Genomic DNA, 12432 nt, shown 5'->3' with positions numbered 1-12432 from the left:
AAATACTGTACCTTCCAAGGTTTTCAAGTAAATTTCCAGATGTTCTAATGTCTTCTGCTTATTTAAATCTTTTAAAATTCATTACCATTATTTCAAATACACATTTCAGAACTTATTTGAAAATAAAATCAGGTTGCTTCCTAGTGTAGCCAATATACTGTCTAAATTGTTAAGAGTCTATGGTGATGCCAAAGACAATTGTAACTTGAGATGGTTGATTCTAAAGCTCTCAGCCAAGTAGCGTGCAAAATGGAGAAAAGAGCTTACATTTAAGGCTGGATGTTGTGGCTTATGCCAGCAATCCCAGCATTTTGGGAGGCTGAGGTGGGCGGATCGTCTGAGACTAGGAGTTTGAGACCAGCCTGTCCAACATGGTGAAACCCTGTCTTTACTAAAAACACAGCAAAATTAGCTGAGCATGGTGGCGTGCATGTGTAATCTCAGCTACTTGGGAGGCTGAAGCATGAGAATCGTTTGAACCTGGGAGGGGGAGGTTGCAGTGAGCTGAGATCATGCCACTGAACTCCAGCCTGGGTCAGAAAGCAAGACTCTGTCTCAAAAGAAAAAAAAAAAGCTTACATTTAAGACAGCTTCTCATTTTCTCGTTCCCCTTGCTTCAGCCTCACTTCCTTTCCTTGTCCCCTTTATTTCTATATTATCATTATGTTTCTATAGTTAAATATTGGTGCCGGAATATAATTTTTAAAGTAAATCCTTCTGTTGTTCTTAACACTTTTTTTTTGTCTTGTAAAGGAAGAAATTAATGTTTTAAAAACAGAAGTACTACTACTTTCTTGATTATTTTTCCCTATGTGTGTTTATAACACTTAAAAAGAATTACAATAAAGCCAGGTGTGGTGACTCATGCCTGTAATCCCAGCACTTTGGGAGGCTGAGGTGGGGCGATCACCTGAGGTCAGGAGTTCGAGACCAGCCTGGCCAACATGGTGAATCCCCGTCTCTACTAAAAATAAAAGAATTAGCCGGGCATGGAGGTGGGCACCTGTAATTCCAGCTACTTGGGAGGCTGTTGCAGGAGAATCGCTTGAACCCAGGAGGTGGAGGTCCCAGTGAGCTGAGACCGCGCCACTGCACTCCAGCCTGGGCAGCAGAGCGACACTCCTTCTCAAAAAAACAAACAAACAAACAAACAAAAAAAACAAAAAAAAACTTATTTTTCTCCTATAATAAAAGTAAGCTATATTTGTGGTATACACATTTCTTTTTTCTCTGATGGGTTAAATATAATTTGTCAGATGAGATAGTTTTCATGCTGGTAAGAATTTTTTCATCCGTTCAGAATTATCTTTCTGTGTAAATCCATCATTGAATTTCAGTGTCTTTGCAGAACGGCAGAGTGACTTGGTTGATCAGGTTCTGTTTTTTGTGTCCTTTGTTCTAGATACATTTCATATTGCTCTTCAGTCGACAAGGGAAATTACGGCTACAGAAATGGTACATCACTCTCCCTGATAAAGAGAGGAAGAAGATCACCCGGGAAATTGTTCAGATTATTCTCTCCCGTGGTCACAGGACAAGCAGTTTTGTTGACTGGAAGGAGCTAAAACTTGTTTATAAAAGGTGTGAGTAACTTTTTGAGAGCTCAATTTCTCAGTCTTACTTTGGTTTGTTCTAATCCTGAACATTTTAGATTGCTATACCAATTCCATCATTTACTGAAATCTTTGAAGGCTGGGGCCCAGATATTTGTACCAATAGACTAACTAGAAAAGAACTCTCATTTTATTGAAAGAAATTCTAGGTGCCAGGATGGATTCTAGGTAAATAAACTACACCTTGATAGTGCACGCATGCATTCAAGAAAAGTGGTATGAACACCTGTTACATTCCTGGCATTGTTCTTTTTTAATTTGTTGGAGGCGGAATCTTGCTCTGTCACCCAGGCTGGAGTGCAGTGGCGTGATCTTGGCTCACTGCAACTTCCACCTCCTGGGTTCAAGCGATTCTCTTGCCTCAGCCTCCTGAGTAGCTAGGATTGCAGGCATCTGCCACTATGCCTGACTAATTTTTGTATTTTAAGAGAGACGGGGTTTCACCATGTTGGCCAGGCTGGTCTCAAACTCCTGTGCTCAGGTGATCCACCTGCCTTGGCCTCCCAAAGTGCTGGGATTACAGGCGTGAGCCATCATGTCCGGCCATTCCTGGCATTGTTCTAATGGCTGTGATACATCATTGAACAAGACAGATGACATTCCTGCTGTCATGTAGTATACATATTTATTAAGTAACCAAATACAATATTTTCACTTAGTAACAAGTGCTTTGGAAAAACTGGAGGTTAGTATGACAGAGAGATGGGGATGTGTTCAGTGGGGCAGCTCTTATTATGCCTGTTACTTGAATTTGTAATGAGTACATTGAGGACATGAAGAGTTTAAGTAGTCAGTTCCCAGTCACAGTAATTGAGTGTTAATTGGTAGAGCCAGGATTCAAATCTAGATCTTTTTGGCTTTAAAGCCTGTATATTGTTTTTACCATATCTGCTTGCCATGGCAAGACCATACTAGAAAGGACCCTCAATTTATAGATGAGATAACTAAGCCTGAGAGGTAACATAATTTTGCCCTTGGAGACCCAGGTAATTGATGCCTAAGCCAGGAACAGAACACAGCTGACCTGACCCTGCATCCAACACCCTACTGCAACTCCCGGAAGGAGTTATGATCCTTAGATATGCTCTTGCAAAGGGTGTTTATAAAGCTCGTTGGGAAAAACAGAGGCAACCTTCACAGATTGATATTCAATGGAGTAAATTACCAGCAAGTGCCTGCAAAGCTCCTTCTGCTGGGCCCAAGGTTGGAGTTTGACAAATTGAGGAGGGAGGCTCACACAGAATGACTGAAGCCCATTGTGAAGTGGGAGGGTGGGGAGCGTGGGCTCCTGACAGCACTGGTCAGGGCTTTCTATTTTACAAAAAACAATTGACAAGCTGGAGAGGGGTGTGAAGACACCCTGATTACCAAGAGCGAAAGGATACTGTCCTCCTGATAATAGCTCTTCAAGGTAAAATTTTGTTGAGAGTCTTTCATGCGTAATTAATGGAAGTAATCCAACCCCCACAGAATTTTCATATATTCTGATTTATATTTCAGGAGGCTATTGGGGGTGATGAATAATGATTTCATTCTTGGATGAGGAGAGGCTCGGCGGGGGAGGAGGTGACTGCATATTCGTGGGAAAAACTGTCTCCAGGTTGCTTAATGTATTGTCATATTTTGCTTTTGTTATTTTTCATTTCAAGGTATGCTAGTTTATATTTTTGCTGTGCAATAGAAAATCAGGACAATGAGCTCTTGACGCTAGAGATTGTGCATCGTTACGTGGAGCTGCTGGACAAATATTTTGGAAATGTAAGTGTTGTCCTTGTCGGTTAGGATTAGCTACAGTCCCCATCTCAGCTCTTACTTCAGTTCTGTCTCTGGTCACATCCCTTCTCTCTGTCACATCTAAAATATGAATTGAACTTGAACCGAAGATCACCTTAGTCCCCCTAAGATTAGAATACAAGATTTTTCTCCCTACCTATAATTCTTAGTAAATGAAAGACCCAAAGCTTTCCTTTTTTCTTTTTAAATAGATATGGAGTCCTGCTATGTTGCCCAGGTGGGTCTTGAACTCTTGGCCTCAAGCAATTCTCCCACCTCAGCTTCCCAAAGAGCTAGGATTATAGGCATGAGCTACCGTGCCCAGCCACCCAAAGCTTTCAAGAGGTGGATGTATCTTTATCTTCATACCACAAATACACCAGAGACCTTATTTCAGTGAACCAGAATTTAACTGTGAAGGATTTCTTGATATTCTGTTCTTTATTCTTCATTGGCTTTGTCGTCTCTTTTCTGTTTTGACTTTTTATCCTTTCTCTGGCTTTTTTTCTAAGCTATAAGTATTCTTAATTATTTATGCATAAGAAAAATAGCAACAAACAAAAAACCCAAATCCTTTTCCTTCACATTGCTATGCAATAATCTTTTTGCATTTTCTGCCAAGTGATGTACTATGCTAGGTGCTCCAGTCCTCAGAACTCATTCACTCGGCAGTGCTTACAGCATGGGTCCATCTTTACTCTGCAGGGAAATCAGCAAGTTACCATTGAACCCTCCTGCGGGTTGACACCAGCGATTCCTCTTGAGTCTTCACCTGCTTTCACCTGCTTCTCGCTGCAGCACTGGACCCTTGCTCACCATGACGCTTTCTTTAAATTCGCCCTTCTTGATTTTGCCATGACATTGATTTCTGAAGCGCCTCCTTGGTTTCTTCCACTCAGCTCCCTTCCTCTGCCCAGCCCTAAATGCCCTCATCTCTTCCTAACTCTGTGTGTACTGACGCTCTGTCCTGGAAATCCCTTACTAAGTGACTCTTCTTCCCCTTGTTGGTGACAGTCTTCACTGGGCTTCTCATGGCCCAGAACCAAACTCATCTACTGAAAATCCGTTCTGTCTTGTGATTGGAATTTGTTATGTTCCAGGATCCTTCAGTGCAAAAGGACGCAGCTTGTTTTGTCTTTTCCTATGCTTTACCAGAATCTGCCTCTGTCTATTCAAATTGGGCTGACATTCATTTCCTTCTTTCCACTCTCACTAATATAGGTTCACTTGGGATTTCAATTTTGCTTTTCTCTTAAACATCTTACCTGGCTTTTTATGCCTCTGAGCTTTTCTCTGTTCGCCCTCTTGCCCTATTAGTTACCATCTTCCTTAAAAAAACCAGATATAGGTGTGGCATTCCTTCACAGCCACTTTCCATCATGTACAATAAATAAAATCAACCCCCCCAGCCTGTTGTTTAACCTTTCAAAGCATGGATCCCTGACCACTCCTCCATCCTTGATACACTACCCTTATTTATTTATTTATTTATTTATTTATTTATTTATTTATTATTTATTGAGACGGAGTTTTGTTCTTGTTGCCCAGGCTGGAGTGCAATGGCACGATCTCTGCTCACTGCAACCTCTGCCTCCCGAGTTCAAGCGATCTTCCTGCCTCAGCCTCCTGAGTAGCTAGGTTTACGGGCCCCCGCCACCATGCCCGGCTCATTTTTATATTTTTATTAGAGATGGGGTTTCACCATGTTGGCCAGGCTAGTCTTGAACTCCTGACCTCGGGCGATCCGCCTGCCTTGGCCTCCCAACGTGCTGGGATTACAGGCATGAGCCACTGCCTCCAGCCTACATTTCCCTTTTTATATACCTGACAGTTCTCCAGCAACAAGAAATGACCTTGGAGTGTCCCTAACTGGCACCCGATTTGCTTGACCACCAAATTGCAATTCTCTTGAGACCAGTGCTTTGTGACTCATTTTATCCCCCCACCGCTTAACTTGTAACCAGCTGTGGGCCAGACTTGATAGCAAATGTTCCAAAAACATTTAATCCATTTCACAGTTTCAAGAAATAAATCATTGGATTTGGAAAATGTTTTCTTCTCATAATACCCTCTTCCCTATTCCCTTACTCACTGAAGTTTTTGTTAAGTGTTAGGATAATTTGCTTCCAGCAGAGTTTTTTTTTGTTCTTGTTGTTATTCTCTTTAATGGAATGAGCAGTATTTGCAATATTGAACACGTTTTATCAGATTTGTTGCAACACTTTTCATAAGGATGAACACTGGAAAGATTTCTGAAAGAATTTTTCCTCCCTCCCTTTTTTCCCCCTTGTAAATGATGTTGTTAAGACCTAAAATGTTGCTTCAGGGATTTCAGGTTGTTGGTCAGTATATAACAGCAATAAGACAACTAGACCATCTTTTCTTTCTCCTCTTGGTATACCAAGTTTATTTTCATTTTTTTAAGGAGAAATTTGCAAATGTATAATAACATGTTTTCAAACATATTATTTAATACTTTCTACTATTCAAATGAATTCTCACATTTTTGTACTTTCCTTTGAAATAAACTACAGACTTGGCCTTTTGCAAGAGCCTGAAGAAGTTTCCTTGAGGTCTGGGCATTCCCGTAACCTGCCTTCTCTTTCTCATTTCTGAACTCCGGCTTGACCTGTTGTATTTTCCTAGATTAAACCAACTGTGATAATGTGAATTGGGGCTGAATTTTGATCTCAATCTATCTGACCAAATTTCAGCCAGATATCTCAGGGCATTATGCTTCTCAAGAGAACTTGAGTGACCTTCACCAATGCTAAACCCAGTTAAAGTACAAAGAGAGTCAGAATGAATTCCCATTTCTCTAACATTAATTTCCCATTCTATTTTGGTATACCTTTGGAAGCTCTGTCTTTGTCATGTACCAAAATTTAATTTATTAAAAAATTCAATGAATCTTTCATTAAGCTAAGAGCAGCTAAGAGCAATTCAAGGCTATATGCCCAGTAGAAGTTCGGTTCTTGTTAATTAACAGTGATGAGCAAAGACTTCCAGTACTGATTCTCATTGACATAATCTCAGCAATAAAATATTTCTCTTTGATTTTCTTTTCCTCCCATATTAATACTAAAGCTTTCCTTGAATTCTGCCCTTATATAATGTTATCTAGGGGAAAACTTGGTACTGAGCTTCTCTTATAACACTGGAAAATATTATCTGCTGAAGACAGACGGATCAAAATCTCTGGCTACTAATTTAAGTTATGTATTTTTTTTTAGCACTTTTCAATTCCAAGGAGATTTACGAGGATTAACTAGTTAATCTTCCGATCTTCAGTAAGTAGCATTAACCTCAATTTATAGAGGCTCAGAGGAAATGCCTCAAAGTCTCATGCCAGATAAGAGTCTGAGGATTTAGATACCTGCCATATTTCTGCATTACAGACTACAGTGTGAATTTTTACTGGTGCCTCAGTGTGTGAGGATGTTGATCTCCCAGAGAGCTTTTGAATTTGATGTAGGGAGTTTTTTGTTTGTTTGTTTTTTGCTGTCAGGGGAAGAGCACTATGGGTCCCCCGGATGCTGGTGTAGGCTCACTCTCTCACCAATTCAAGGATTTGGGGCCTGTCATGTGTCTCCGTTTTGCAGATGAGAAAAATGACCCTCAAAAAGGTTAAGAGAAGTGTTTACTTTGCTAACCTTATAGGGCTGCTGGGAGGGGCAAAGAGATGGCGTGATAGCAATACTTAATAAACTATTAATTGCTATATAGTTGTACATTGCATTATAATTATTCTTGTTTTATTTTATTTATTTATTTTTTTGAGACGGAGTCTCGCTCTTGTTGCCCAGGCTGGAATGCAGTGGCGCGGTCTCGGCTCACTGCACCTTCCGCCTCCCGGGTTCAAGCGATTCTCCTACCTCAGCCTCCCTAGTAGCTGGGATTACAGGCATGTGCCACCATGCCTGGCTAATTTTTGTATTTTTGGTAGAGATGGGTTTTTGCCATGTTGGCCAGGCTGGTCTCAAACTCCTGGCCTCAGGTGATCCACCCACCTCGGCCTCCTAAAGTGTTGGGATTACAGGCGTGAGCCACTGTGCCCGGCCTATTCTTATTTTATATATAGCTTTATGGTAGTTATATAGTTTACTATTATTTGAAGCATTTGCTGCATGTAACTTGAAACTTTTTGTATTTACTTTAGAGCATCATTTAATAAGTACATGTGCTTCTTAGATTCTGTCCAAAAGGATTCAGTTGGTGAAATGCCAGAAATAATCTCACTGCACCATGAATTCTGCTGTAAGAAAAGAACCTTAAGCCAAATTACAGAAGAGCACAAGGCTAGGACATTGAAGATAAAGTTAAATGATAGTTTCTACCATTTGAAAGCTTTATTCAGAATCTAGATACACGAGAAAATAAATAAAGAGGCTCATGTTTATTAACATGGTGAGGGAGCAAGAAGCCGGGGTATTTGCATAATTAGAAGGAGTGGAATCACTTGAGCATCAAGTACATATTTTTGTTGTATTGGGACAACCTCAAGGTGGAATTTATTATTTTATTTTATTTTATTTTGTTTCTTTTTCCCGAGACAGAGTCTTACTCCGTTGCCCAGGTTGGGGTGCAGTGGTGCAGTCTTGGCTCACTGCAACCTCTGCTTCCTGGGTTCAAACGATTCTCCTGCCTCAGCCTCCCGAGTAGCTGGGATTACAGGCGTGTGCCACCATGCCTGGCTAATTTTTTGTATGTTTAGTAGAGACAGGGTCTCACCATGTTGCCCAGTCTGGTCTCGAACTCTTGACCTCAAATGATCAGCCCGCCTCAGCCCCCCCAAAGTGCTGGGATTACAGGCATAAGTAATTAGGCAGTAGCTTCAGAAACCTGACTTGGGACTGGGAACGGTGGCTCATGCCTGTAATCCCAGCACTTTGGGAGGCCAAGGTGGGGGGGATCACTTAAGGTCAGGAGTTCAAGACCAGCCTGGCCAACATGGTGAATCCCTGTCTCTACTAAAAATAAAAATAAAAAAATTAGCCAGGCATGGTGGCATATGCCTGTAATCGCAGCTACTTGGGAGGCTGAGGCGGTAGAATAGTTTGAACCCAGGAGGCAGGGGTTGCAGCAAGCTGAGATGATTCCACTGCACTCCAGCCTGGGTGACGGAGTAAGACTGTTTCCAAAAAAAAAAAAAAAAAAATGAACTGGTCTAAGGGTCTTCCTGGATATTTTCTCTCATTCTCAGATGGCAGTAGACTCAAAGAATAACTATAGGGTAGCACTTTTGTGTTGCTGTATGTGAAATAGTTGCTCAGTTGTAACATTCTCTGTAATGCCTATGGAACTTGCATATACATTTCTCTTCAGAGCTACAGATAGTAACTGTATATCAAGGGGTGTGTGTGTGTGTGTGTGTGTGTGTGTGTGTGTATTGTCTCTCTAACTCTGAATACCACCTTACCTTACCCTTATCCCTTGAAACTAGTACAGTAAATTAATTGCCCCATGGCTGCTGGAGGACCCAGACCTGGGGACGTGTCAAAGTGGGGTATAAGAAGTTCCTGGAGAATTTTCATTAGTATCTGTCAGGTTCACTTTGCAGGAGTTTAATTGCTGGTTTCTCCTAATGAGGCTCCTGTCTGTCTTGGATTCCTGGTCTACGCCTGCCTTGAACTCCGAGGTTCCTCAGCTTGCTACTATAACTCCTGACTTCTGCCTTTTCTGACCTCTGGTAACTGCTTTCTTCTCATACCTTCTTTCATGTACATGGATGTCTAATCTATTGTGATTTCTTTTTGTTTCTTTCTATTGTTTAAAACTGCAAAAATGATGCATATTTTTACATGTCCCTCTAAACATATACGGTTTTTAAAAATAGGATCGCGGCCGGGCGCGATGGCTCACGCCTGTAATCCCAGCACTTTGGGAGGCCGAGGCGGGTGGATCACGAGGTCAGGAGATCGAGACCATCCTGGCTAACACAGTGAAACCCCGTCTCTACTAAAAATACAAAAAATTAGCCGGGCGAGGTAGCGGGCGCCTGTAGTCCCAGCTACTCGGGAGGCTGAGGCAGGAGAATGGCGTGAACCCCGGGGGGCGGAGCCTTCAGTGAGCCGAGATCGCGCCACTGCACTCCAGCCTGGGCGACAGGGAGACTCCGTCTCAAAAAAAAAAAAAAAAAAAAAAAAAAATGGGATTGCATTCTGCATATTATTCTGCAACTTTCTTTTTTTTCCTCCTTACAAGTCTATCTTAGAGCTCTTGCCATATTTGTGCATGTAAATCTACCTTATTCTTTTCAGCTTCTACATAGCTGAAACATATACAACAGCAGGGAAAGGAGACAGTATCTGTGACACCGAAAGAATCATTCAAATTTCTAAGACAAATATTACAATAGAAAAAAACAAAGTCTTTAAGAAGCAATTTGTAGACAAGGCAAGAAATGGAAAGGGCCAGTGCATATCTAATAAGATGTACAGTCTCACTAATAAGCAGGGAAATGCAAGTTTAATTAATATTCATCCGAAAATTTAGAGACTATCCATTGCTGGAGATGGCATAAATAGGTAATCACTCCTACTGTTAGTGAAACTTTTAAGTTTTATAGACTACTTTGGAGGACCACATTTTAGTATTTATCAATTTTAAATATACAAATCCTTTGACCCAAAATTCCCCAAGGAATTTATTCCTACACTATACTCAAATTAGTATACAATACACAACAAAAATTATGGCAGCATCATTTAGAATAAAAACTGGAAACAGCCCAAAGTCTGCCCATATCCATAAAGGAACTGCTTAAATAAACTGTGATATACCCCCAGTATGCCATGGTAATTCTGTATGGAAGTTGGATTCATTTGGATCTGTTGACTTAAACCATGTTCCTTGTGAAGTTTGCTAGTTTATTGACCTAACTTGTAAGTATATGGAGGAATTTGCTAAAATATTGACATCTATTTCATGCAAAGTTATAGCATTCAGTACAACCATAGAATTGTATCTGGGATGCCATTAATCTCTAGCATATTAGAAACAAGGCCTATATTTATTTATTTTTATTTTTTGAGAAGGAGTCTTGCTCTGTCACCCAGGCTGGAGTGCAGTGGCATGATTTTGGCTCACTGCAACCTCTGCCTCCTGGGTTCAAGTGATTCTTCTGCCTCACCTTCCTGAGTAGCTGGGATTACAGTCGTGCACCATCATGCCTGGCTAATTTTTGTATTTTTAGTAAAGACAAGGTTTCACCATGTTGGCCAGGCTGGTCTTGAACTCTTGACCTCAAGTGATCTGCCTGCCTCAGCCTCCCAAAGTGCTGGGATTACAGACGTGAGCCACCATGCCCAGACAAGGCCTCTACTTAAACTTGCTCATTCATTTATCTTACAAGCATTTTTTGTGTCTTACAATGTGCCAGAAACCAGGGATATAAAGATAATGAAGACAAAGTTTCTGCCCTGAACTCACAGTACGGGGGAGTGATTAGTAATCAATAAGCAGAAACTAGTGCACAGAAGATGTAAGTGAGAACCCACAGGAAGTGATGTGAAATCTGAATGGGGAAAAGGGGATGTGGGGAATCGCCACATGCCTGACTTTTGAATTTGGCCTTGAAAAAATGAGCTTGGTTTTGCCAGCAGGAGAATAAAGAAAAGGACATTTGGGGACACAATTCAAGAATTGTTGGAATGTGCAGAAAGCAAAGGCACAAAACACCGTGACATTGTGAGTTTGTGGCATGTGTGTCAGATGCATGGATGAGAACTGGCACGGGAAATCAGACAGCAGGGCCCAGGCTGGTAAAGATTCCTATATGCCTTTGTCCTGAAGACCTTACACTGGAGAGGCACAAGATCAGCATTTTAGCTAAGCATTAGTGGTCAATGGCCCTGAGCAGGCACAACCGCCACCTGGAAGGTCATTGCAGTGGCCTGATGGAGAAGTGCTGTAGGCCTGAGCAGCAGCTGTGAAAGCAGAGAAGACAGGAAGGGTAGGGACTTATTTAGACAATAGAATCAGTAGAAACTGATGACCAAATCCAGAGGGATGAGATCAAGGAGGGAGAGGAATGAGTGGGGAAGGGGAAGTATGTTGGTTGAACTCTAGAATGAATTAGATGGAGAAATTAGAAAGAGATTGCAACTACTAAGCAAAATAGGGACTAAAGGAAAAAGAATAATCTTGATATCAGCTTGGGACATAGTGACATGGATTGAGGAATAGGTAGGTAAAGATGTCTAGTTAGTGGGTGAGAATATTGGACTAGTGGCCCAGAGGGAGATCAGGGCTAGTCATCTAGGTTTGTTGAGCTACCTGCATGCTAGACACAGCTGTAGAGAGTCAGCAAGATTGTCCAGGAGAATATGCATTTTGCAAAGAGAAGAGGCTCCCTTGAGGAACATGAATATTCAAGCAGAAGATGGATGGCTAGAATATAAGCAACATGCAGTAGAGATGTTTGTCTGTTCTGTTGACTGATATGTGCTAGGCACACCTTAAATACTTCTTAAACAAATGCAGGGTAGGAGGGAGATAAATTATCCAAGGAGTCTGAGAAGGAATTATCAGAGATAGACAAGAAAAACAGGCATTAAGTGGTATTGCCAAAATCAGGGGAGCAAGGGAGAAGAGATTTTCAAGGAAGAGAGATTGGTGAAGAGTACCACATGTGGCTGAGAGGTAAACGTTGGGGAGGTCTGGAGACTTTCTTTCTTTTTTTTTTCTCCTCCCTTTTTCTAAAATTACACTTTAAGTTCTGGGATACATGCACAGAATGTGCAGGTTTGTTACATAGGTATTTATGTGCCATGGTGGTTTGCTGCACTCATCAACCTGCCATCTACATTAGGTATTTTGCCCCCCACCCCCCAACACACTCCGGTGTGTGATGTTCCCCTCCCTGTGTCCATGTGTTCTCATTGTTCAACTCCTACTTATGAGTGAGAACATGCCGTGTTTGGTTTTCTATTCTTGTAGTAGTTTGCTGAGAATGATGGTTTCCATCTTCATCTGTGTCCCTGCAAAGGACATGAACTCATCTTTTTTTATGGCTGCATAGTATTCCATGGTGTATATGTCCCAC

The 12432-nt window shown here is 41.4% G+C and overlaps 1 protein-coding gene across 4 annotated transcripts in view; it reads left to right on the top strand.

Annotated features, from left to right (window-relative positions):
* The window catches only part of AP1S3 (adaptor related protein complex 1 subunit sigma 3), an 82257-nt gene that overhangs the window by 58311 nt on the left and 11514 nt on the right, over window positions 1-12432 (top strand). For 2 of the 4 annotated variants that reach the window (XM_011510600.4, NM_001039569.2), the window contains exons 2-3: window positions 1403-1581; window positions 3263-3371. In XM_011510600.4, coding sequence (XP_011508902.1) covers window positions 1403-1581; window positions 3263-3371 — 288 coding nt within the window. Of the gene's footprint in view, window positions 1-1402; window positions 1582-3262; window positions 3372-5920; window positions 5960-12432 lie in introns of all 4 variants that reach the window. The other 2 variants (NR_110905.2, NR_110906.2) reach the window with 2 other exon arrangements.

Source organism: Homo sapiens, chromosome 2, assembly GCF_000001405.40.
Source record: "Homo sapiens chromosome 2, GRCh38.p14 Primary Assembly".
NCBI lineage: Eukaryota > Metazoa > Chordata > Mammalia > Primates > Hominidae > Homo > Homo sapiens.
Note: the sequence above shows the minus strand (reverse complement) of the source record. Positions and strands in the feature narration are given on the sequence as shown.